A 26,086-nucleotide genomic window follows, 5' to 3' on the forward strand; every position below is an offset into this window, starting at 1 on the left:
ACGCAACACAGGGAAAACGCGACAGGTGAGAGGCTTATAAAGCACGCAGGTTACCTGAGTCCTGGGAGCAGCTGAAGCCAGTGTCCCCCGTGCTGCTGCTGTGCCCCAGGGGCTGTCCACCTGCCATGAGCGCAGTGAGGTGTGGGGACAGGCCCAGGTCTGAAAGACAAAATTGGCATTGACAACACAATCACACTCTGCAAGGAGGGGCCCCAGCCTCCGTTTCCCCACAGACCCATCTCCTGCCCTTCTGTTCGCCCTTGCAAAACTCACTCTCAACTCCCTGAAAGACAGGAGAGCTTAGCTGCTCCCTCCTGGCTCGCCCCTCTTTTCTGTCCCACTGTGTCAGCAGCACTCACTGGGTTCCCCCAAAGGGGAAACTCTCCTGACAATGTCAACCACCACCAAGGTGATGACAGAGGGCCAGGGAGCACAATCAAAAAGGCAGGCAGGAGGGAAAATGTGAGGTGAGAAGATCTTCCCGTTAAAGATGGAGGGTTCAACCCCACATTCACCTCCTGAAATCCTACTTGAATTATCAAAGAGGGATTTTTAAGAGGCTTACACCCCAAAGGAAGGAGAGAATTTTTGTAAGCTGGAAAGCAGATGGTTGAGAGTGATGAGCTGACCCGGAATAGAGAACTGAGGTTGGCAACGGGGAGGTTTGGGAGAGGCAGGCTTCACCAGGCTCTGAAAACTCAGGAACGGGGTTGGGGGGTAGGGGGCCAGGAGCCACTGCTCTTCTCCAGGCTAGGCCTCGGGCGCCAGACCCCAGTGTTGGTAGGAGAGGAGAGAGAGTGAGCCCCGGGCACAGCCGCGGCAGAAGCGACCCAGTAAAAACTGAGGGTATTGTGGAAATTTACATATTAAGTAGTGGGACCCTGGCCCCTTGTCCCACTTAACCTGGGCTGGAGACTGCAGAACTCTTCCCTGGGAAAATCCACCAAGCCTAGAGGAAAGACTCACAGGCACTGAGAGTCAGGTGCCTGTGAAATGGCCCTGCCAGACCAACCCACAGTCAGGAAGCCTGCCTGCATCCCACCACCCAGGGCTTCCCTGTGGTTTTCTAGGCCCTCGTTATTAGAGGTGAAGGGGTGCCCAAGGATCACTAGACATTTAAAGGAAGGTACTAGCGTGAAAGACAGAGATGGGAAAAAAGAAAAGAAAAATGGACCTCAGAGGATTCAATGCAGGGAGCTTAAGAGAGCAAAAAATATTACAATGGGTCATCCTCAGAATGTTAGGAAAATAAAAAAAAGAGCTGCAGGCTATGAAAAAAGGAACATGGAGATAACAAAACGCTCTTAGAAATTAAAAACAAAGCACAAGAAGTCAAACTCCTGGGAGCTCATGAAGAAGATCCACTGCCTGGCAGATTTTGCAATCTGCCATAAAGGACACTCTTGTATTTTATGATACACTCACAGATAGGAGGAGACCTGTTCCTTCATTCTACCCTAATTCTTCAGAGGTTACAAGGCAATAGAATGCACTTTCTCCTTTCTTCCCTGGAGCCAAGGAGGACATGGTGTGGGAAGGCGGGGTGGTCACAGCAGGCTTCTCTCAGAACTTCCCTCTCGCTGCTTTTGGGAATCCTGCTTTTGCAAGGGGACTTCCTCTTGACTGGGGGTTACTGTAGGGAGCTGGGACCAGAAAGGCCCCAATCCTTTCCCCTGCACATGCCCATCCTCCCAAGGTCTCGGCCTGAGAACATGACTGTGTTCAGCAGGAGGCCTGGCTTAGGGAGCAGAGCCTGTGGGGGCATCTCCTGCCAGCTGGGATGGCTGAAGCCGCAGTGGGTTTTGGACACCATCTCTGAGGCTGCAGTGAAAGCCAGGAACATGTCGGTCTGCACCAGTGGGAGGAATGGTCTGAGCCAGGCCAATGCGGCTCAGCTAAAAGGTCTGGAAACGGGGCAGCCAGGTGGCATCCCTCTCCTCTGTGTTTATGCAGCATTTACCAGCAGAGGGTGGAGACAATTACCCTGAGATTGTTCACATGAAACAATGTATTTACTGGGCTGAGCACAATCCAACCCCTCAAGAAAAAAGCACAAAGGCACAGGCTCGGGGAATCAGGTTTGTGGCTCTCCAGAGGCATGCGGTGAGCAACAGTCACAGTGCTCTGAGAAGCTGAAAGAACAGGGGTGTGATTCTGAGATAAATTTGCAGGTACTTTGAGCTAACTACAAGACCTCTAGATGCCCCCAAGCAAAGGAACTTAGGAAGGCAAGGGAGTAAATCCAAAGGCTCTGGGGTCACCCTCCCCGCCCTCAAGCTAGGCCTTCTCAAGGAAGAACCTGGAGCGAGGTGTTTTCCCCTGGACAAACGTGAGTCAGTGTCCTTCGCAGGAGATAACGGGAAAGGCTCTATGCCCAGGAGCTTCAAGGGTCTCGTAAGGGCGGCGTTTGGAGGGGGTGCCCCCTGATACTGCCTGGGCCACCCTCCCTGGCTGGGGAGAGGGGTGGTGCTCGGGCTCTCCAGCCCTGGCTGGAGTGAAGGTTCTGGGTCGGCCAGCGGAAGGGCAGGTGGAGGGGCTGCCTGCACTTTCTCCTGAAGCCTCTTCTTGGCTCCCATTGCCAGTAGCCACCAGTCAGCTTTGTATTGGTGCTTTACCATCCTAAGACCACCTGGTAGCATTTAGCAATGTCCATGCAGGGCTGACCTATCTGCCACATGGTGGTGCTGCGTGGCAACCTCCAGGAAGTCCAGAGATCTAAATTCCTAAGTGACCTTCCCCGTGGGAATTGGCTAAGGAGACCTTACAAGCAGAAGGTATTTGGTGGCCCAGCGACATTTGGCACCCATGGAAAGCCTAAGATTTTGTACTTCCTCACTTTGGGACAAACAGAATGAGAGAAGCAGAACCACTGATTATGGCTGAAATCTGCTAGATATAAAGGACACACTGTCAACTGCCCAGGAGACTCCTGACATCCAAGTCAGCTGGGAAGCTCCAGAAATGTGTGGGATTCTGCTTCTGCCTTTGCTCATATGCACTGCTTTTAGGAAAGCTTATTCCATTTACTTTGGTTAAACCTTTCCAAGTGCCCATACAAATTGAGAGGAACAGAATCAAGAAAGAGCCTCCAAGTTGCTTCTTGCTGGCTCTGAGACAGATCAGATCATCCTTCATACCTCTAGTTAACACTAAGGTGAGCCAGTGGCAGGGGAAGTGATTAGGGTTTCAGAATCTGCTGCAGATCAAGGCCTTGCCCACAGAGGGTCTGGTCAGCCCTGGCTCAGACAGAGGGACCAGGGACACAAGGCAGAGGCCAGGGCTCTCTCCTGCAGTCAGAAAGCCATGGACAGCGCAGGGTGAGCGGCTGGGCTGGGGCGCCACATTCTGCTTTGGTTCCCAGACTCTTACTGATGCTGCTGCCTCCTCCTGGGATCAGGACCTTCAGGGAAGAACAAGAAGAACCATCCCCCACCCCCACCCCAGCTCCCATTCCTCGGAAAGACCAATAACTTGGAACCCATTCCATAAGCTCTTCAGCCCAAAGGCATCCCACAAGCCTGCTTTCCCTAAATGAAGATGAGACCACCAGCTGCCTGGGATGTGCCAAACCAACCACAGCTGGTGTTTTCCGCCTGTGCTCACAGCTTCACCAGCTCTTCTAGGACACCTGCAAGTGACTTGCATGGAAAATCTTGGCCTCAAAAGCAGGTGTTTCTTTTTGTTCTACGAACCCTTTCCTGCTCCATTTTCTGTCCTCATTTTTTTTCCTTCTTCATTTTAACTTCATTGATCTAGAAAACATCTATTTTTTTTTGCCTAGAAGACAAGTGAGTTTACAAAATCTGGACTAATACATTAATCAGTGAAATGAAGCCCAACATTGAATGGACTCCTGGATCACAGGTCATATGTGAAAATGTGGGCTTGCAACTGGCAGGGGTGAGCATTTCAGTGGTTAAAATACTGAGATACAGAGAAATGTTTTCTCCTATGGTTAAAAGTCCCAGACTTCCTTCCTCTCTTGGAAATAAAACTCCATCAGCCCGTGAAATAAATCAGTGATGCCATTGTGTCTCATCGCCACATGGAAAGGATCTCCTGTCATCATTGCCACTGGGTGTGCATAATTAGAGTCATTTCTTTCACCCTCTTGAGAAGAAAAGTGGAAGAAAGACCTATTTCATGAAGATGAGAAATTAACTAGAGTGGTTTGAAGAGTTGCCCGAAGTCATCTGGCAAGAGATTAGGACTGTAGTCCAAGCTGAATGTTCTCCAAATCTCTCCCAGTGGCTTGGCCAGGTGATGGTCTCCTTTCACCTTGGCCCTAAAAATCCAGCTACTTGACCTCAAAACTACACAGTAAAAATGCTAGAGGCAAGATCCACAAATGTGTCCTGAGTCAGTGGGAAAGGGCCAAAGAGGAAACAGGGTATTTGCATCATCTCAAAGTATCTCCTCAGTTGTATTTATTAATTACAATGGGAAAATCAGCAGCTTTACTGTGGAGAAAGCTGACAGGCACCACCTTAACCGAGAGATCAAGAGCAACACAACTAGCAATAAGGCATATTGGCATATGTGCCCCCTGCTATGATGTACAGGAAGGGCACATCGCCCCTGTGGCATTTTTGCCAAAAATGGATAACCTCATTCTAATCTTGAGAAAGCATCAGATGAACACAAATTAAGGGGCAGTCTACAAAATACCTGGTAAGTACTCTACAAAGCTGTCAATGTCATAAAAGACAAGGGAAGAGTAAAGGATTGTCAAAGATTGACTAAGACAATATGGGATCCTGAGCTGGATCTTTGGACAAACAAAGGACATTAATGAAAAACGGGTGAGATCTGAATCAAGTTGTAGTTAATGGCACTGCCCCAGTGTTAACGTTTTAGAGCTGTGGTTGTTCAAGACAGTAACCCTAGAGGAAGCTGGGTGTGTGGGAATTCTCTGTATTGTTTTTCCAAGTCTTCTGTAAATCTAAAATTATTTCAAAATAAAAAGTTTTAACAAAAAATCTAACCCCTAACTAGAGTAATTCCACTGGGTCCCATCAAAGGTGGTGGGATTGTGTCCGGAAACCTGTGCACACCGGATCAGTCATCAGAGGAAGGAGCAGCCTCACACGTACAAGGCCATGATGCTTCGATGGAAGGCTGAGGTTTGGCATGGACACCCCCGGATTGTCTGGGACCATCTGAGGAGATCACTGATCTGTGAGGAGGAGGAGGATGGTTGAGGAGGAAGACAGCAGCTGAGGTGGGGAGGGGGTGCTGACAAGAGGAAACACTGAAGGAAAGGATGTGGATGTGGCTGTGCCAGGAGAAGGTGGCCTGGTCCAATGCTTGGATTCTTTTTCCTCTAGTAAAGAATATACTCCAGGCCTGGCATGGTGGCTCACGCTTGTAATCCCAGCACTTTGGGTGGCTGAGGTGGGCGGATCACTTGAGGTCAGGAGTTTGAGACCAGCCTAGCCAATATGGTGAAACCCGTCTCTACTAAAAATATAAAAAGTAGTTGGGTGTGGTGGTGCGTGCCTATAATCCCAGCTACTTGGGAGGCTGAGGCACGAGGATCACTTGAATCAGGGAGGCAGAGGCTGCAGTGAATGGAGATTGTGCCACTGCACTCCAAGCTGGACAACAGAGCAAGACCCTGTCTCAAAAAAAAAAAAAAAAAAAAAAAAAAAGAGAGAGAGAACTAACTATACACACTCTGAGGCCAGAGGGCCAGGGCTGGGGTTTCAGAAAGCAGATTTCTGGACCGTGGTGTCCCCTGTCCCATTCTTTTGGGACACATACCAGGGCACCAGGGAGCTCTGCTGGCCTTGTCAGCATGGCCGTGAGCTACTGAGTGACAGGAAGCTCCCTGGCAATCACAGCGGAGCCTCTGGAATGTTTCTTCCGAAAGGAAATCTGTGCTTTGAGCCTTACCGCCAGTCAGCCTGAGAACTCACCCACAAACAGGCCAGAGTGGCTGAGAGGACCACAGATTTCATCTGCCTCGGAGGGGCTATCCTAACAATGCCCAAGTTACCTGTGATCCTGTTGGAAATGCTGAAGAGCCTGGAAGTCCTCTGTCGTTGCACAAATGGTTCCCGATAATACCGGTCCCCAAAGCACATGCCCAGTAGTTCTTTGCGAACTGTCTTGTTCCAGAGTCCATAGATCAGGGGGTGGCAGACAGCGCTGGCAAAGGACAGCCATGTGGCCCAAGTCTCCAGGCTCGGGGAGACGGAGCTTTTCCCCCAGAGGGCCTCAGAGGCGATGACAACCATGTAGGGGCCCCAGGTGACCATGAAGGCACCGAGGACCACCAGGATGGTGATGAGGGCTTTGCACTGGTTGGCCGAGTAGACCACACCCTGAAAGGCATTCCTCCTGCTGCCTGAAGAGGAGGTGGAGGTGCTGGAGTTCTTCCTCCCGGTCCTCTGAGCATCCTCCTCCACGATGACGACTGTGCCACAGTGCACCTTGCGTGCCTTGACCCTGGCCACGCGGAAGATGAAGCCATAGCACACCAGCATGACCAGAAAGGGGAAGAGGGCACACCAGATCTGCCAGAAGGCCGTGTAGCCAGGCTCCCGGTGCCAAGCAGCCACACACATCCATTTGAACTCGTCAAACTCCACGGATGACCAACCAAACAGGGGTGGCAGGCAGCCGATGAGCGAGTGAAGCCAGATGTAGACAAGTGCCATCACAGCCCGGTTCCCTGTGATCTTCATGGGGTACACCATGGGGTACAGGACAGCATAGTAGCTAGAAAAGGGATGGAGGGAGGCAAGAGAGAGAAGTCAGCGGAGAGAGAAAACCGCTGCCTTCCTGCGTCAGGGGCTCCCATGACTGGGTTGGATGTTTCTAAAAGCAGCACCTTCTCCCAAGTCTCCCCAGACAAGTTATATAGACTGCATCGTGTTCCACAGCTCTGCAGAGCTCTTTAACAGAGAAGAGCTCAACACTGGCAAGACACAGAGCTCGAACAGTCCTGTTTCCAAGTCATCACACCACAGCCCACTCATATTTGGGGGTGTGGCCAGTCTTAAGATACCTACAGAGGTCCTGAGGGATTATGCATTGGGCCAGATCAATTCTGCTGCTGCTGACAGCAGAATCATCCATTTACATCAATTTTCAGAGGGATCATTAAGAACCAGAATGATGTTGAAGGACTACGGGCTTCATTCAACCAATGGACATTTACCAAAGGCTTGCGATGTGCCAAGCACCGCGCTACCTCCTGGAAATGCAGTTGAGAAGATGTGAGGGAGGCAGACACCTGAGCCAAGTATCAGGGCCTGGAGTGGTAAGGGCCACATTGAGTCCTCACAGCAACTGTGAGCAGCGGATATGTCATTATCTTCATTTTACAGATGAGGAAACTAAAGCAGGGAAAGGCTAAATAACACACCCCAGACCCATGGGAGAAAGACAGAAAGCCAGGCGATCTGACTCTACAATCCCCAGTGCACACGCCCAGCAATTCTGTGTAAGCCTTCTTGTTCCACAGCCAAGGGGGCGGGTCCGAATCACTCAGTGCTGCTAGGTAGGAGGTGGGCCAGGAGGGCTATCCATTCAAACTGGCAGGCTTCTGGTCCAGCACAGAGGGTCACAGCAGGCTCCTGTTGGAGGTGATGCTCCAGACCCAGGTCTCACAGCGTTGGAGGCACTGACCCAGGACCACCCCAGGCAGAAAGCTAGCCTGGCGAGGTATGGAGTTGTGAGTGAGCACCAGCTCAGCAGGGAGGCTGCATGGAGCTCCACCTGGCAGGAGAGAGAGTGCAGGATGGAGAGAGGAGGAGAGAAGGAAGCAGGCCGGGTGGACGGGGCCGGGGCATGCAGAGCTAAGGACTGTAGGCCCAGCTAAGGACTGGCCCTTTAACTGGAAAGGGTGGGAGGACTCAGACCACAGGGCTGAAAGTCAACCACCACCCTCCCAACCCCGACATTTTATCCAAGGGAAATAGGATGTTCCCATGAGGGCAACATGTGTAAGGGACGGGTGGCCACACTGATGCCGCCTGGCAGGACGTTGGGAAATGACTCTGGCTATGTGCCTCACACATCGCCTGGGAAGGTGGCTCCTCCACAGGGACCGCCCTGAGTCACCCTTGGGCCCCAGCAGCTGAACTGCCACATGCTAACTGGAGGTGCTGCCTCCTTGGTCTTCCTAAGCAGGGGTGAGCCTGGGGCTGCTCTGAGCTGAGCCTTGAGCCCAGGCCAGGATCTATCCTGGAAAGAGAGCATTTCCGGCTATGCGGCCTGAGGAGAAGATTGCGCAGTGATTAGGGTGTCTATTACAGAATCACTGCACAGTGGCTGGGTAAGGTGATTACTGTCTTTCGCTGCTATCTGGGCTTGCATCTTGCAAAGGCCGTGCAGCCCAAGGGAAAAAGCATGCCTTTGGAGCTGGAAATTCAAGTTCAGATGGAGGCTCTGATGTCTATTAGCTATGTGACCTCAGCTAATTGATGTAACCTCTCAGAGCTTCAGTTCCCTCATCTGGAAAATGGGAATTCTGGCACCCACATCACAGGTCTGCTCCTAGGAACGAATGAGGAAGATCATGGAAAAGGCCCGGATGGTGCCTACCCTTCAATGGGGGACTGGCCATCGACCTTTCCCCCTTCCTCCTTGAGGACGAAAGCCCTACACTGCTCCTGCTTCTGCGATGACCCCCAGGGGACACTGGCCCTTTTGAGCCCTGGGGGGCGAACAAGCCCCATGGTGGTCTTCTTCCCCTTGTGGGTGGCCTGCTGAGACTCGGACCTGTCTGACGTCATTCTGGCAAATGAAATGTGAGGGGGTTGCTAGGGGACTGCAGGGAGGGGAGCAGTGGGTCTAGGAAGGTTTCCTTCACTTTTCAAAAGAAACAATGCAGAGATTTCTACTTTTTTTCTATCCCTTTAAAGAGCACACAGACGCTCCACCCTGTCACCTCGGTAGTGTACGGCCGGTTGTGGGAGCCAGGCCTGGTGAATGTTCACTGTAGGCCTCCTTCCACCGACTCTGTTTGGCGGCCATAAAAATGATTACAATTAATGTGCTGTCCTCTGCCAGATTTCCTTCTGGCTCTTCTCAACACCCAGTTATTATTACTACTTTATGGCAAGACTTCTCCTTTATTGTAACAAATGGTACCCATATCACTCACTGACTGAGGTTCAGGCACAGGGAGTTCCAGTGTGACATGACACTGATTTCTGCCAGCTGCATCCTGAGTGCCATCAGGAAGCTGGGGCAGTGAAGCTGGGTGCTGGCTCAGTCAAGGTCCACCTCCTACAGGCAGAAAAGCCCCACAGGCACAGCCCTGCCCATGTACAGCCACGTCCTCCAGGGATTATTTTGTTTTTAAGTTTTTTTTTTGGGGGGGGGGGGTTGGTGTGGATAAAATGTATGTACATTGAAATGCACGCATCTACACCTCTATCAAGATACAGAACATTCCAGCCAGGCGCAGTGGCTCACATCTGTAATCTCAGCACTTTGGGAGTCCAAGATAGAAGGATTACTTGAAGCCAGGAGTTTGAGACCAGACTGGGCAACATAAGGAGACCACATCTCTACAAAAAATAAAAAACAAAATTAGGCAGGTATAGTGGTGTGTGCCTGTAGACTTAGCTATTTGGGAGGCTGAGGTGGAAGAAGGATCACTTGGGCCCAGGAGGTCAAGGCTGCAATGAGCCATGACTGCTCCACTGCTGCACTCCAGCCTGGGTGACAGAGCAAGACCCTGTCTCAAAAAAAAAAAAAAAAAAAAAAAGGATATAGAACAGTCCTGCATCTCCTCAGGAAAAAATGGGTATATGTGTTCTCAATCACAGATTTATAAAGTCGTTATTTGCAGCAGAAGCCTCATTTAAGCCTAGTTGAAGATTTAAGGGAAAACAACAAAAGCAACTCCCCACTCCTATGTGGGCTAATAATACAGGCCAAAAGAGAGGGGTTTTCCTTTGCTCTCTATTCTCTTAACTGTCTTGAGGCTCTCAATCTTTCCTCCAACTCATTTTTAGACATGAGCCCAATCACGACCCTTGAACCCTAAAGAGGCTTTCATGACGTCACAGGTAACTGAAAAGTTGTAATGTGGGAAGGGGCTTCCGATGCTTCAGGCTCCTGCCACAAGACCAGCCACTTTGACAGCAAGCCCTGCTCTTAGTAAGTTGTCTTCAGTGAAAACAGAAACAGAATCTAAGCCAATTTCACCTAACAAAGGGGCAACACATTAACTTCCATGGAACAGTCTCCTAAAAGCACTAGTCATCTTTGCTAGCCCTATCCATCCCATTGTTCTAGCTACTTTCATGTACTGAAATTCTATTTTTAGACCTGGAGTTTCACCTTCTGTGATGTGGAATGAAAATATGAGAACTATTTCCACAGACCTGGAACTCCAGCAGCTTGGCAGCGATGATAGAGGTGACCACCATTACAGACTTCTAAGTAATGGACGTTCACAGTGGAACCGCTGGCAGGTCAAATGGTGTCCCCAGCACGCCCTACTTTCACTTGGCTGGTTTAGGACATTGACAAACTGTGAATTTCGCTCCAGGCAGCCATTCTTTTTATATCTGTCTTTGCTCTCTTTTCATGGGGCTACAAGATGGACTCTTTGGGTTCATCTGTCCAGCCAGTTTCTTTTTTTTTTTTTCTTTTTTAAATTTTATTTTTATTATACTTTAAGTTTTAGGGTACATGTGGACAATGTGCAGGTTTGTTACATATGTATACAGGTGCCATGTTGGTGTACTGCACCCATTAACTCGTCATTTAGCATTAGGTATATCTCCTAATGCAGCCAGTTTCTTTAGCTAAGGTTCTCAGCTGGGAACCCCTGGGTATACGTGGCAACGTCTATAGACATTTTGGGCTGTCACGACTGGGGAGGTGTTCCAGCATCTGGTGGGTAGAGGCCAGGATGCTGTTGTATATCCTACAAGGCATAGGACAGCTCCTCACCACAGAGAATTATCTGGCTCGAAATGTCAACAGTGCTAAGGTGGAGAAACCCTGAGCTACGCTAGCTGGCTGCTGGAATGACTGGCAGCACTGAGTTGATGGTGTACAATGACAAAGCGTCCAGGCTCGGGCATCTCAGAACTGGGAGAGTTACTTCCCAGCCACGTGACCTTGGGCAAGTTACTTAAGGCCTCAAAAACCTCACTTTGCTCATCTGCAAAATCGGGGCTAACAAGGTTACCATGAGGGTTAGCTGAGCTAACTGTTGATAAACGGCATACATAGTGCAGTGCCTGGAATATGACAAGCGTGTAACATTTTATAGTTAAAATCACGCCCACTGCCCTTGCTATTCTCCACTTCTACTTTCTTTTTCTTTTCTTTTCTTTTTTTTCAGATGGAGTTTTGCTCTTGTCACCCAGGCTGGAGTGCAATGGCATGATCTCGGCTCACTGCAACCCCTGCCTACCGGGTTCAAGTGATTCTGCCTCAGCCTCCCAAGTAGCTGGGATTACAGGTACCTGCCACCATGCCCAGCTAATTTTTGTATTTTAGTAGAGATGGGGTTTCACCATGTTGGCCAGGCTGGTCTTGAGCTCCTGACTTTGGGTGATCCACCCACCTCGGCCTCCCAAAGTGCTGGGATTACAGGCGTGAGCCACCACGCTCGGCCTCAGCATGTTTATTCATCTTATTCAGCTATGTATTCCCAGCACCAACCACTGTGCTGGGCATATAATAGGTGCTCAATAATTGCTTACCAAGTGAATACACAGAAGCTGCTCCTTCAGTCAGAAGGGGCCTCTCCACCTGTTACGTACCTGCTATCCTACTTGCTGTTTAGGAACCTAGCTCAAATGCCACCTTCTCCCTGAAGCACTCACTGCCAGCCCATCAGCAGCAGTGGCTGGTGGAGTTGTCGATGGTGGTTATTTCTACTTTTGTGTTAAATCGGCGCCCACAAGTCAGCCTCTGCCACTCAACTGTAAACCCCTGGTGGGCAGGGTCTGTGTCCTGCTCATGCTTGTAGCCCACCACTCCAAGGATTGGGCACAGGCCTTTCCTGGAGTAGACATCCAACCAATATTTCCAGTGTGAAATAAGGCCCTGAAAGAGGTAAACCCTCTCTCAGATGAAGTACTTTGCTGGCATGATTTGAGGATTTGTCATGCTTGCTGGTAGAAAATCTCATTCTCACTCATCTAGACCCCAGATTTAAGCAAGCAGCTTACAGTCTCCTGGAGCTATCCCTGCAGATGACTGGCATGTTTACTGAGCATTCATATAGAGACAGCTCTGAGAGGAGCACTTAGAGACCAGCTCTCCATCTCTGCAACTAAGCTGTTTAGCCTCACTCCATGTTCCACGGGACCCAGGGCCCAGAAAGGGATGTTCAAAACTTAATAATTCAAAAAAAAAAAAAAAGTTAAAACAACAAGATCCCATTCCTCCCCACTGCCAACAAACTTCCAAACTTTTTTTTAAAAAAAAATTATATAATCAGTCCTGATAGGCTATTGACAAACAGCTGCTGAAATACAAATTTGTACAACTTTCTGAAAGGTCATTTGCCTTTTATATATCAAGAATCTTGAAAGCATGTTTACTGTTACTGAGAATATAGCAATTACACAAACACACATGCTCCTCAGAATGCTATAGTGAATAGCAAGCTATGTGAAGTCATCTAATCCAGTAACAGGGGACTGTGAAAATAATTTATATACCTCCACAGGATGGAATACCTCGTAACCATGAAAAATCACCTTCTTCAAGGATATTTGAAAATAAGAGAAAATGCTCACCATCACCTAAATGAAAAAAGGAGGACAGAAAACCATAGGAGCCAGAAGCCTATTTCAAAAATTTGCTGTATACAACCAAAAATTACTGGAAGCAAATATACTAAAAACATCAACAGTGATTGTTTCTGATGGTTAGATCATGTGTTTCTAATTTCATTCATTATATTTTCTGGATTACCTCTACTACTCAGGGAAAAAAAAAAAAAAAGAGAAGCTAATTGATTTGTTTTGAGCAATGGCTTCATTGGTTCTGCCTCCCCAGTGCAGCCACAAAGAGCTGCCAGATTCCAGCCTCAGGTCTAGGTGCAGTCTGTGCTCCCAGTGGACAGTTCCACTACCACTCATCGACTGAAAAACTGACAGTCTCAAAAAAGCCCGGGGACTTGTGTCACCCAGTGACAATATCCCTGGCTAGCCCCACTCTGTGTTTTCCCTAACCCCACTACTTACTCTCCTCCCCAATTCCTGGTAAATGACACAGACCTTGAATCTATCCTCCCTGTCCTCATGAAGCCCAACCTGTGCCTGTGATGAACGCAGTGGCCATTAGCAAAATTCTAATAAATGCACTCATTTGTGGGAAACTCGCTGCCAAAGCCCACAAGACTTGTACAACTAAATCTGACAGCATAATGCGGGACCCTGAAGAACCCGCGAGATGCTGCTTAGGAACATCAGCTGCGCCTGACCTCCCCGTGCATCAGCTACGTTGAGGGCGGGAGCAGCCGAGTTTCCAAATGCACACGGCCTCTCCCCGGTGTCACTGCCTGTATTCTCTGGCTGTCTTCCTTCCCCCTGCTCTCCTTTCAGTCCTGGACTGTGGGCAGTGAGGGTGTTCCCTGTTCGGGCTGCACTAGTCAACACCAAAGCAAGACAGAGCAGGGGTCACACTGGGAGAAAGAGAAGCAGAGTCAGAGGCCCTGGACCCAGTGCTGCCCGGAACTGAAACCTGCCTTGGCTTCGGCTTCTTCATCTACAAACCAAGAATCAGAGGTTTCTACAATGTTTTATTTTAGGCGATGGAAGCTCTTTTTAAAATATAATATTGTATGTAACATCCACAGACAAAACGAGATGTGCTTTGGTTGAAGAGATGGCTCCAGAGGCAGAACTCCACCTGGTCATCCTCCCCCAGCAAGGGCCCCTGACACTCTCCAGGGAACTAAGGCAGTCAGAGGGACACTGCACCAGATGAGCGCCCGTCAGTAATCCCTCAATTCTCTAAGTCTGAGGCATGCTTACCGGTCGATGGCAATGACCCCGAGGGTTAGCATGCTGGCAGAGCTGATCAGCAGGTAGAGGAGGGCAGAGAAGTTGCACCACACTACACCAAAGATCCATTCCCTGCGGATGGAGCTCGTCACCACAAAAGGCAGCACCAACACGGACAGCAGGAAGTTGGACAGAGTCAGGCTGAAGACGAACTTGTTGCTGAGGGTGAGGAGGTAGGACTTCTTGTACAAGGTGACCACGATGACCAGGTTTCCCAGGCAGACAAAAATGGTGATGACAATGATGGCGATGAACTGGGTGATGATGACGCCCCCTTCGCCACCCTCCTCCTCAGTGAGATTACTCAGCTCCTTCCTGCAGCTGAGGGAGGAGTTGAGGCTCATGGTCAGTGCACCTCGGCGTGGGGTGGGCAGAGCATGCTGGACGACTGGAAAGATAAGGCAGGACCAGGGGACAGGAAAAGATTCATCAAATCACATCGTCTCCACCTTAGGGAAGAAAGGCTTAAAGGGGTTAAGTGCTACGCCTCAGATCACCCAGCTAGTACAGACTCTCAGCGGGTCTTCCCCACGTAAGCGCTACATAAGTGGGCCATTTTCTACAACCATGTGTGAAATTCATTACATCCCCCTGACCAATTTCTTCCTCTGGTCTAACCCATCCTATCCATTTTCCCAAGACCAGTGGTTCAAAACCTTTAATGTGCTGAAGAATCGTCTGAAGTGCCAGTTTAGAAAGCTGATCCTTGAGCTCCACCACTAGAGGTTCTGGGCGCAGAGATCACAGGCACAACCTAGGAATCTGCATTTTAAACAAGCAGGCTGGGGCAGGGGGCAGGGGGCTGTTACAAGTGGTCTATGGGAGACACTCTGCAGACTGCTGTGTTTAGACCCTGGCTACTCAGGGTGGGCCCTGAACCAGCAGGATCACCATCACCTGAGAGCTCACTAGAGAGGCAGAACCTCAGGCTCCGCATCTCCATCTCACGGAATCAAATCTGCATTTTAGCCCACCGCCAGTCAGTTTTGGTGCACATTACAATTTGACTGTAAGATTCTCATGGGAATTGTTCTGAGCTCCCTAAGCAGGGATTAATCAGGTACAGTTTATATGGGGACGTCATTACTGTTCTCATCAGACACGGCGAGGGAGGGCAAGCACTAACTGTAAATGGGGAAGTAGAGGCACCATTTGAGGTCTTGGCCCACAGACATCACTGTCTATAAGGTGCAGTCCCTGCCCTCAGGAAACTGGCTTGGGATCTTGGCTAAAGCCGCAGGTTGACACATGTTAATGTTAAATCCTACAGACTAATGTTTCTCCAAAACTCTTCATATACTTCAGTTAGCCAAAAAACCCCACAGATCACTTTCCCCACCTGCTCTCATTCTCTGCACACAGAAGACACCAAAAAGAAAGGAAAGATCGCTTTCCACGATCAAGACAAAAACTCTGCTGCCTAAACTGCCTACACACAGCAGCGGGGCCATCCTCACAACCCTCGTGGTGGATCCGCTGCCTCTACTCAAACACTCTTTGGCCAGAGGGAGTGCATGGGTTAATAGGGCAGCCCTTCCCCTCACCAGCAGTCCTAAGTGCCAGAGAGAAAGCTTCCCTCATAGTGAGCTGTATAGTGGTTTCCAGACCTTTCACTAACTCAGCTTCCCTGCTTTGTATTTGCTCTCAGATGTCTATGACTCTCTTGATTTGCGGTCCCCAAAATTGAACACACCATTCTGGATGTATTTTGATAAGTGTCAGGTCCAAAGGGGCAATTATCTCCATGATCAGAATAATCCCCTTCTACTATTCACTCTAAGAATACATTTTCTGGAGGCAGGGCGCAGAGTGGCTCACACCGGTAATCCCAGCACTTTGGGAGGCCCATGTGGGCAGACTGCTTGAGCTCAGGAGTTTGAGAGCAAGCCCGGGCAACGTGGCGAAACTGTCTCTACAGAAAAATACACAGAAAATTATCCGGGAATGGTCGTACATTCCTGTACTCCCAGCTACTTAGCGGGCTGAGGTGGGAGGACCCCTTGAGCCCAGAGGTCAAGGCTGCAGTGAGCTGTTTGTGTCACTGAGCTCCAGCCTGGGTGACAAAGCAAGACCCTGTCTCAAAACATTTTCTTGTAGCAACTAATTCTGTTGGGCTTATATAAGTGTGTGATTGACTAAACCCCAAAGTTTATACATACATGAATTTCTGTGAAGACAGATGTCCCTAATCTTGAACATGTGGAATTAATGTTTTTAAGCCTATGTACAAAACATTATTTCTACTAAATTTCCCTTTATGCATTTTGGCCCATATTTCCAGGCTGCTAAAGTATTCTGAATTTTGATTCAGTTATGTAACATATTAGTTACTCCAGCTTTGTGCTATGGAGATACTTTCTAGGTGTGCCTTCTATGTCTGTGTCTTTGTAAGGTTGTTTTTGGTTTTTGCCTTTAGTTGGCGAGTTCTGGGTTTGTTGACTCTAATAAGTAAATTATTAATTAACGTCTCAAAGTTTCTAAATAAGCATATTACTGCACAAGGGACAACATGGTGATTAAGAAAATAGACTTTGCATGTAACAAGCCTACACATGTACCCCCAAATCTAAAATAAAAGTTGAAATTATAAAAAAAGAAAGAAAATAGAGGTTGAATCATTAGACAAATGAAATAAAGAGAGGAAATGTTTATAGCTTATATCACAGATAAAAAGCTAATCATCCTCATCTGTAAAGAACTAGTTAAAAAAAAATCAAGAGAAAAAAAACAGATGAAAACCCAGAATAAAAAAGTGGCCGTAAGACTATTATGGTTTGAATGCCTGTACCTTCTGAAACTCACGTTGAAACTTAACCTCCAATAGGCAACATGGAGAAGTGGAGCCTTTCTAAGAGGTGACTGGGTGATGAGGGCTCTGCTCTCGTGAATGGAATAACGCATTCATGGATTGATGGGTTATCACGCAGTGGGACTGGTGGATTTATAGGAAGAGGAAGAGAGACCTGAGCTAGCACTCAGCCCCCATCCATGTGATGCCCTGTGCCACCTGGGGATTCTACAGCGTCCCCACCAACAAGAAGGCCCTCACCAGAGGCAGCCCCTCAACCTTGGATATTTTAGCCTCCATCACTGTAAGAAATAAATTCCTTTTCTTTACAAATTACCCAGTTTCAGGTATTTTGTTATAAGCAACAAAAAATGGACAAAGACAAAGACCTAAACACAGAGTTCACAGAAAGATATGCCCATGGTACTCAAACACTGAAACAATACCCAATTTCACTGAAAATAAGAGAAATCCATGTTAAAACTACACTGAGATGCCATTTCTTTCTTTTCAGACCAGGAAATTCCAAAGGTTGGCAGCACTCTCTGCAGGCAAGGCATTGGGGAAACAGGCACTCTCCTACACTTCCAGTAAATGCAACTGGCAGAACCCTAGGGAGAGGAATTGGGCAAAGGTAAAAATACTAAGTGTATGCACCCTGTCTTAGTCTGTTTGCATTGCTATAAAGGAATAACTGAGGCTGGGTAACTTATAAAGAAAAGATGTTTATTTAGCTCATGGTTCTGCAGGCTGTACAATTATGGTGCAGCATCTGTCTCTGGTGAGGGCTTCAAGCTGCCTCCACTCATGGCTGAAAACAAAGGGGAGCCAGTGTATGCAGATCACATAAGGAGAGGGGAGCCAAGAGAGGAAAGGAGGTACCAGGCTCTTTTCAACAACCCATTCTAGTGGGAACTAAGAGTTAGAACTCACTCACTCCCACAAGAATGGCACCATGCTGTCCTCCATGAGGGATCTACCCCACAACAAAAACACCTCCCACCAGGCCCCACCTCCAACACTGGGATCAAATGTCAACATGAGACTTGGCGGGGCCCCCAAAACCATATCCAAACCATTGCACACCCTTGGCCCAGCAACTCCATATCTAAGCATCTACCCTGAAGATACAAATTCACAATACGAAATAACAGGTGGACAAGGTTATTTTATCCACTGAGGCCCTAGTTGTAAAAAAAAAAAAAAAAAAAAAAAAAACTGGAAATAAGTGAGAAAGAAGTTGAAATGAGAATACATACACACACAAATATATATAAATATGTTTATTTAAAAAGAAATATAGGAAAGATACATCAGAAATTAAGAGAGAGAGAAGTAAATTTCTCTATTTCTTTATAGTTTTGATTTCTGAACCATGTAAATATTTTACACACTAAAAATTTTAAATAAAAAATGTTATAAAAAGTAAACATAAACTTGACTGTAGACAGAAAAAAGCCTAATGTAAATCAGATTAATGATATAACCATAAAGAGAAAAAAATTAAGTTTACTAAGTTTACTTAGTAGGTTAGATGTTGGTAATGGCATTGCAATTTTATACCTATTGGACTGTAGGGCAATTGTGTATAAATGCTTTTGTTTGAACTATAACCACGCTTATGTTGGGAACCAAGTATTTTACTGTGGGAGATAAACGATACAAATTACAGAATGGGGGGAGGTGAGAAAACACCTTGTGTTAGATTGGTGATTGGACGTATCAGTATGAACTCACTATTCAAGCATAAATATAAGAATTAGTCTGAAGAAATTCCCCAAAATGCAGTCAGAAAGATTAAGAAATTGAAAATATAAAAGGTGAATGAAAACAAGACTAGGAAGCACTTCACAAGGTATAATGACTTTATCCAAGCAAAGGATAGCGTTGTTCACTTACTATGGGAGTCTCCTCTGGCAACATGGTGGATGTCACTGATGTGAACATGTTTCTTATTTCAAATGCACAGAAAAGCTGGATTAAATATAACCCCAAATTTAATTTTTTAAAAAAAGTCAAACTTGAAAAAAGAAAGAAACCTACAGGTAACAGAGAAAAAACTAAAAGGCAGAATATTAACCTCACACCTGTAACCAGAGGGTATTAGATCTATTATAGTTTAAGTCCCCTAGGGCAGAGGTTTTTAGGTGGCAGAATGACTTTGGGCCCTACAAGGCAGAGAACTGGAACCAACATCCTACATAAAGAGTAGGTTCTAGAAGGGATTTCTCCTTCATGGAAAAGGGATTAGAAAGCTCCTCCCACTGGCATAGGAAAGTGGCAAAAATATAGTCATTTAACTTGAGGCTCTGGGCAGGGTACCAACATTTTTTTCCATGAGAAATCAAACATTAAGACATGCTAATGAGGGTTCTAAATTTATACATTCCGGCCAGGTGCAGTGGCTGATGCCTGTAATCCCAGCACTTTGGGAGGCCGAGGCGGATGGATCACCTGAAGTCAGGAGTTCAAGACCAGCTTGGTCAACATGGTGAAACTCTGTTTCTACTAAAAATACAAAAATTAGCCAGGCATGGTGGCACACACCTGTAGTCCCAGCTACTGGAGAGGCCGAGGCGGAGAATTGCTTGAACCTGGGAGGCAGAGGTTGCAATGAGCCGAGATCGCACCACTGCACTCCAGCCTGGGCAACAGAGTGAGGCTCCATCTCAAAACAAAACAAACAAACAAAACTAAATGTATACATTCTGCATGCTACAGAAATCCAAGTTAATAAACCCATGTAAAAATTAATGCTGACAGAAGTAAATCAAAATAGCTTTATAAGGAATTTATAAGGAATACAAACAAGAAAATACCTGATGAAAGTGAGCACATAGCATTCACCATGAGCGACAGTCAACAACAACAGCAACAAAATAGGAGAACTGACTTCCAAAAACTTGAATTAATAGAAAAAATATGGTGGCCAGGCACAGTGGCTCACGCCTGTAACCCCAACACTCTGGGAGGCCGAAGCAGGCAGATGGCTTGAGCACAGGAGTTCGAGACCACCCAGGGAAATGTGGTGAAACCTCATCTCTACAGAAAATTAGCCAGGCTTGGTGGTGTGTGCCTGTAGTCCCAGCTACTTGGGAGGCTGAGGTTGGAGAATAATCACCAGAGCCCAGGAGGTTGAGGCTGCAGTGAGCCGTGATCACACCACTGCACTCCAGCCTAGACGACAGAGTGAGACCCTGTCAACATTAAAAAAGAAAAAAAAAAAAACGAAAGAAAGGAAAGGAAAGAAAAGAAAAGAAAAGAAAAGAAAAGAAAAGAAAAGAAAAGAAAAGAAAAGAAAAGAGACAATAAAACCAATACAAGTAAAAGCTTTTAAAAAGAAAAGAAGCCGGGCGTGGTGACTCACTCCCGTAATCCCAGCACTTTGGGAGGCTGAGGTGGGTGGATCACCTGAAGTCAGGAGTTCGAGACCAGCCTGCCCAACATGGTGAAACCCCGTCTCTACTAAACATACAAAAATTGTCTGGGTGTGGTGGCGGGCACCTGTAATCCCAGCTACTCAGGAGGCTGAGGCAGGAGAATTGCTTAAACCCAAGAGGCGGAGGTTGCAGTCAGCTGAGATCATGCCATTGCACTCCAGCCTGGGAGACAAGAGCAAAACTCTATCTCAAAAAAAAAAAAAGGGAAAAGAACTAGAAACCACAATGAAAGACAAACGAATGGGTATGTTAAACAGCAGATTTAGCTAAAAAGAAAGATGATTAACTGAAAGATGGTTCCTAGAAGAAACGTCCGAGGAAATTACTCAGAATGCAGTCAGAAAAATTAAGAAATTGAAATGATGTAATAAAAGTCAAAATACAGGAAGAATGGGCTAAGAAAATCCAACGTATGTCCAACAGAAGGGCAGCAGGCGAGGTTAGAGAGAATTAAAGGAGTAGACACTGTTGGCTACCTACCCAGCAACCATTCTCAGTTTTTTCTTAACTAGCAGACCTCTGACTTTGTCTGGTGTCCAACCCTCCTCCAAGTGCCTCAGAGAAGCCTGATCTTATCCCTAGTTCTGGGATACAGATCCTGATTGGTCTAAACTAATCACTATGTTCCCTTTCTTCTTGCAGTTCTGGCAGTCGCCACCTGTAGTTAGGCAGGAGGAAAAGTCTTTGATGAGGGGAAGGGGGAAGATTTTTGGGTAAAGCTGCTTTGATCACACAAAGACACAAGGAAGATAAATCTCCCTAATGACCCTAGTGGCAAAGACAGAAAGGGAGCCTGGAGCTGTGGCAGTCGTCTTGAGACCATTAGGGATGCGAAGCCAACATGCTGAGCATGGCTGAAAAGAAAGGCTGGTCCTTGGGCTAATAAATTAATAAATCCTGAAGTCACCTTTCTCCTGGCTTTTTGTTATGTGAAGTAATACATTTTTAAAAACTGTTTTTAAAGCTATTTTGAGTTGGGTTTCTGTTGCTTGAGCCAAACATATCCAATCTACTAGAGTTAACAAGAATTTAGAGGTATGATTGAACATTTTCTAGGATTAAAGAAATATCCTCAAATTGAAAGAGCATATCAAGTTCTGAAAATAATTTTTTAAAAGCCTGTATCAAGACACATCATAATAAAAAATGAAAACACCAACATACAGAGAAATGGAAAAAACAATTTCACCTATAGAGTAACAGTGAGATAAATAGTAGACTCTTCAACAGAAAAAAAAAAAAAGAGGCCAGAAAACAATGGAATAATATCTAAGGAAAGGAACCTTTGCCCTAAAGTTCTATAATATTCAAGAGAAGGTGAATATACTTCTGGGGTGAACAAAACCTGAATGGTTACTAATGACAACTCTTGAGTGATCTGCTTACAAATACATTTCATGAAGAAGAAAACAATCCAGAGATAAGAGGTAGGGTACAAGAATCAACTGTTAGAAAAAAATTTGGGACCAGGCATGGTGGCTCACGCCTGTAATCCCAGCACTTTGGGAGGCCGGGGCAGGCAGATCATGAAGTGAGGAGATTGAGACAATCCTGGCTAACACAGTGAAACCTCGTCTCTACTAAAAATACAAAAAATTAGCCAGGCGTGGTGGTGGGTGCCTGTAGTCCCAGCTACTCGGGAGGCTGAGGCAGGAGAATGGCGTGAACCCGGGAGGCGGAGCTTGCAGTGAGCCGAGATCGCGCCACTACACTCCAGCCTGGGCGACGAAGTGAGACTCCGTCTCAAAAAAAAAAAAAAAAAAAAAAAAAAGGAAAAGAAAAAAAAAAATTTGGTAAATACGTAGATTAATCTAAGTAGGAACAATAAAAAATAAAATTTAGGCCTGGCGCAGTGGCTCATGCCTGTAATTCCAGCACTTTGTGGGCCGAGGTGGGCGGATCACTTGAGGTCAGGAGTTCGGGACCAGCCTGGCTAACATGGTGAAACTCCATCTCTACGAAAAATACAAAAATTAACCAGGAGTGGTGGCGGGTGCCTGTAATCCCAGGTACTCAGGAGGCTGAGGCAGGAGAATCACTGGAACCCAGGAGGCAGAGGTTGCAGTGAGCTGAGATCGCACCACTGCACTCCAGTCTGAGTGACAGAGCAAGACTCCATCTTAGCAAGCACACCAGTGACCTGCGAATCAGAGAGCCCAGAGTTGGCTTGCAGTCTTTAAGGCCTTCTGGTCCAATATTCCCCAGAAGACAGAGGAGGAATGTGGACCTAAGAGCTGCCCACCCAGTGAAATCCAAAATCCCAGTCTCTGCCAGGAGGTCTGGAGTAGCGAAGGCACAAGCCCCAGCAAATCCCTCAGGGTGTATCTTTAAAGAACAAGAGAAGTGGTTTGGAATGCCCCAGCCAGAGGAGGCTTCCTGGCAGGCAGCCAGCTTACCCAGGGCCCAACAAGCCAGGGCCCATTGAATGGAAACAAGCTCAAGTGTGACTCACATTTCTACTCTCTGGGGCTGTTCTGCTGCTAGACACAAAGGTGCTTCAGAACTCCCACACTCACTACATCTTGCCCTGGCCAAGTAAATCACCTTGCACTGCTTCTCCGAGAAACATCTAGACAAAGGTTTTAATAAACCTATCAGAAATTATCCCTGAGAAAGACAGCTGTCCCTCTCAGACAGGTCATCAGGGAAAGTTGATCACTAACTCATCCTTGCCACCACAGCTCAACGTATTGTGGTCACTCCTCTTTTGGAATTGTCTTCAGTCTTCTTGTGCATTTCCAGAAATAGTAAATTGTCTGCTGGATTAGACCACTGGCAACGGCTTCAGGTCATTCAAAGCCAAATCTTATCACTCAAGTCAGTAATTAATACCATTTTGTAATCAGTCCAAGTGCCCATCAATGATAGACTGGATAAAGAAAATGTGGTACATATGCACCATGGAATATTATGTACACATAAAAAAGAACGAGATCATACTCTTTGTAGGGACAAGGATGGAGTTGGAGGCTGTTATCCTTAACAAACTAATGCAGAAACAGAAAACCAAATATCACATGTTCTCACCTATTAGTGGAAGCTAAATGATGAGAACACAAAGAGAGGAACAACAGGCACTAAGGCCTACTTGAGAGTGGAGGGTGGGAGGAGGGAGAGGAGCAGAAAAAATAACTATTAGGTACTAGGCTTAGTACCTGGGTGACAAAATAATTGTACAACAAACCCCTGTGACATGAGTTTACCTATATAACAAACCTGCACATGTACCACTGAACTTAAACATTAAAAAACAAAAATAAAAAATAAGGCAATACTAGGGTATTGAGACAGGTATCTGTTGTGTTTTATAAACTGCTTTGCATGGTAATATCCAAGAAATAATTCCAGAAATGCCTTGAGCTTCAAGGACAGAATTACTACATCATAAGACTAGGTTCTTTCTATTATTTAATTGTGTAAATCTGGGTTATTTTGTGGTCTCATATTTTTACCTAAAACTCTTTCATTTTGATTGTCTTAAGGTGGAAATTTCTCCCTGATCATATTGCTGTTGCTCTGCACTTGTCAGAAGACTGTGTGGCCTAGTGGTTAAGAGCACAGATGCCAGCCAGGTGCTGTGGCTCACACCTATAATCCCAGCACTTTAAGAGGCTGAGGTGGGTGGATCATGAGGTCAGGAGTTCAAGACCAACCTGGCCAATATGGTGAAACCCTGTCTCTACTAAAAATACAAAAATTAGCCAGGTGTAGTGACACATACCTGTAATCCCGGCTATTCAGGAGGCTGAGGCAGGAGAATTGCTTGAACCCAGGAGCCGAGATCGCGCCATCTGCCTAAGCAACAGGGTGAGACTCTGTCTCAAAAAAAAAAAAAAGGCACAGATGCTGAAGCCAACTGTCTGGGTTTGAAGCCCAGCCCATCCACTTTTTAGCTACATACGCCTAAGTAAAAGGGTTGCCTTCTGTGTCCTTGTCTGTAAAATGAGTATCATCTTCCTCTTAAGAGTTATTGTGAGCACTGAGTTCATTTGTATAAAGTGCCTGGAGCAGCATCTGGTGCACAGTAACATTTCACTGCAAGCCAGTGTTACCATTTGAAGAGTTTAACCTGATTTTACTTTGGGAAATGACCCTTCATTTATTTCTGGCCTACCCTTTTTAAATTTTTAGGCCATGTGATTTGGGTGAAGCCATCATCACTTGCAGCTTTAGGGGTCAGCTCTTGATCTCGGGTGGGCTAGAGAGTCTCACTGATGGGGCTAGGGATGCTCACATGACCCTAGGTCCGGGATTTTGTCCGGAAGCGTTGGAGGACAGGCTAGCTTACCACAGGGCTGGCAGTGTGACAAAATACGAACCCAGGGTTGTAGCAGCTGGCCGTCTTTAACACTACATGGGAGGAGCTTACCAGCAAATAAAGCAGAGGATGAGAGCACAGGGCAAAGGGGTGGATAGGTGGGGAGGACACAGGTGAATTCATCCACAAATGCTGATGAAAGGACTTAAGATTCTGAATCTTATTCTAGTTACATAAGACAGTCACTTTTTTCCTTCCCTCACACTAATTTTGCTGGGTTTCTATCACTTGCAACTTACAGAATCCTAATATTCTGATTTATCATGATCTATATAACACATGTCAAGACTCCACCTCTTTGGACACTGGTACCAGAAGCCTTCCCTTTGTCAAGTTTAGGCCAACTCAAGCACAGCTGTGCCTGCCTCAGCCTCCTCTTTTTCCTCCTCTTTTTGCCATGGGCTCCTGGGCCCTAGGAAGTAGACTCTCCTCATATGGAAGCATTAAGAAGCTCTTCACCCCCAGAGTGTGCCCCTTTAGGATCAGAAGATCTATGTCCCAGTTCACAAGCCACAGCAAGGAAAGTGAGACCTCCCCCATCTCCACAATACCCTTCATTTATGAGGACATCCTAAGGGACAGCCTGAGAGCCTGCAAATCACAGGCCCGGGGTTACTGGCGGGGTGTGGTGGTCAGAAGGAGGCAGGTCCTGACGCCTCTCTAATGAGGGTCCCCGGGATAGGACAAGACACACCTGTCCTCTCCAGAATTCTGCTCCAGAGAAAATTTTTTTTTTTTTTTGAGACGGAGTCTTGCACTGTCGCCCAGGCTGGAGTGCAGTGGCGCGATCTCGGCTCACTGCAAGCTCCACCTCCCGGGTTCACGCCATTCTCCTGCCTCAGCCTCCCGAGCAGCTGAGACTACAGGCGCCCGCCACCACGCCCGGCTAATTTTTTTTGTATTTTTAGTAAAGACGGGGTTTCACTGTGTTAGCCAGGATGGTCTCAATCTCCTGACCTCGTGATCTGCCCACCTCGGCCTCCCAAAGTGCTGGGATTATAGGCGTGAGCCACCACGCCCAGCCTGAAAATAGTTTCTTTTATCATAAAAGTCTCTTCTGATATCCTTAAATCTGCCTGAGTGAGGCAGTGTTTCATTTCCTCCTCCACAGGCTCCTTTAGAGCAGAATGCACCACTCCATTGTCCACTCTGTGAATCCCACTATCAATTCTTACGAAGAGCTGACCAGCCTGCAGCACTGGGACTTCCAGCTGCCCTCTTCTAAAGAAATCAAGTGCAAACAGGTAGGTACATAAGCTGTTCAAATAAATTATCCTCCAGGTGAGGAAAATTCCTAAACACCACTTCCAACAAGTCCAGGTGAAATCACCCTGCTGCTCATCTGGCCATACTCTCAGGGCCCCTTTATCTCAGCACCTCAAAGCACTTTACACACATCAGTCACTAACTGGGGCGGGGTGTGTGGTGGGGGTAGGGTTGGGAAGAAGGATCTAATAACCACCCTGTAACTGAGATAAAGAAAGGGAACCCTACTCTCATTCCAACCACAAACCAGGCCACACAGCTCGTTGAGAGGCAGAAA

The 26,086-nt window shown here is 46.9% G+C and overlaps 1 protein-coding gene across 15 annotated transcripts in view, besides 2 other annotated features; it reads right to left on the reverse strand.

Moving 5' to 3' along the window:
* GPR161 (G protein-coupled receptor 161) overlaps positions 1-26,086 on the reverse strand; it is a 58,126-nt gene that overhangs the window by 10,968 nt on the left and 21,072 nt on the right. For 6 of the 15 annotated variants that reach the window (NM_001349633.1, NM_001267609.1, NM_001267611.1 and 3 more), the window contains 3 exons: positions 13,968-14,385; positions 5,999-6,723; positions 55-159 (listed from right to left, as the gene is read on the reverse strand). In NM_001349633.1, the coding sequence (NP_001336562.1) occupies positions 55-159; positions 5,999-6,723; positions 13,968-14,341 (1,204 nt within the window). In that variant the 5' untranslated portion in view covers positions 14,342-14,385. Of the gene's footprint in view, positions 1-54; positions 160-5,998; positions 6,724-13,967; positions 14,386-23,946; positions 24,041-26,086 lie in introns of all 15 variants that reach the window. The other 9 variants (NM_001349632.1, NM_001349634.1, NM_001267610.2 and 6 more) reach the window with 2 other exon arrangements.
* Positions 5,907-6,407: an enhancer, noted in NCBI's record as "H3K4me1 hESC enhancer chr1:168065654-168066154 (GRCh37/hg19 assembly coordinates)". NCBI's record gives its function as "activates a minimal SCP1, AML or CMV promoter by ChIP-STARR-seq in naive H9 embryonic stem cells {active_cell/tissue: H9 hESC(naive)}" and the evidence as "EXISTENCE:reporter gene assay evidence [ECO:0000049][PMID:30033119]".
* Positions 6,408-6,908: an enhancer, noted in NCBI's record as "H3K4me1 hESC enhancer chr1:168066155-168066655 (GRCh37/hg19 assembly coordinates)". NCBI's record gives its function as "activates a minimal SCP1, AML or CMV promoter by ChIP-STARR-seq in naive H9 embryonic stem cells {active_cell/tissue: H9 hESC(naive)}" and the evidence as "EXISTENCE:reporter gene assay evidence [ECO:0000049][PMID:30033119]".

The sequence above is a fragment of the Homo sapiens genome, chromosome 1 (assembly GCF_000001405.40).
Source record: "Homo sapiens chromosome 1, GRCh38.p14 Primary Assembly".
NCBI lineage: Eukaryota > Metazoa > Chordata > Mammalia > Primates > Hominidae > Homo > Homo sapiens.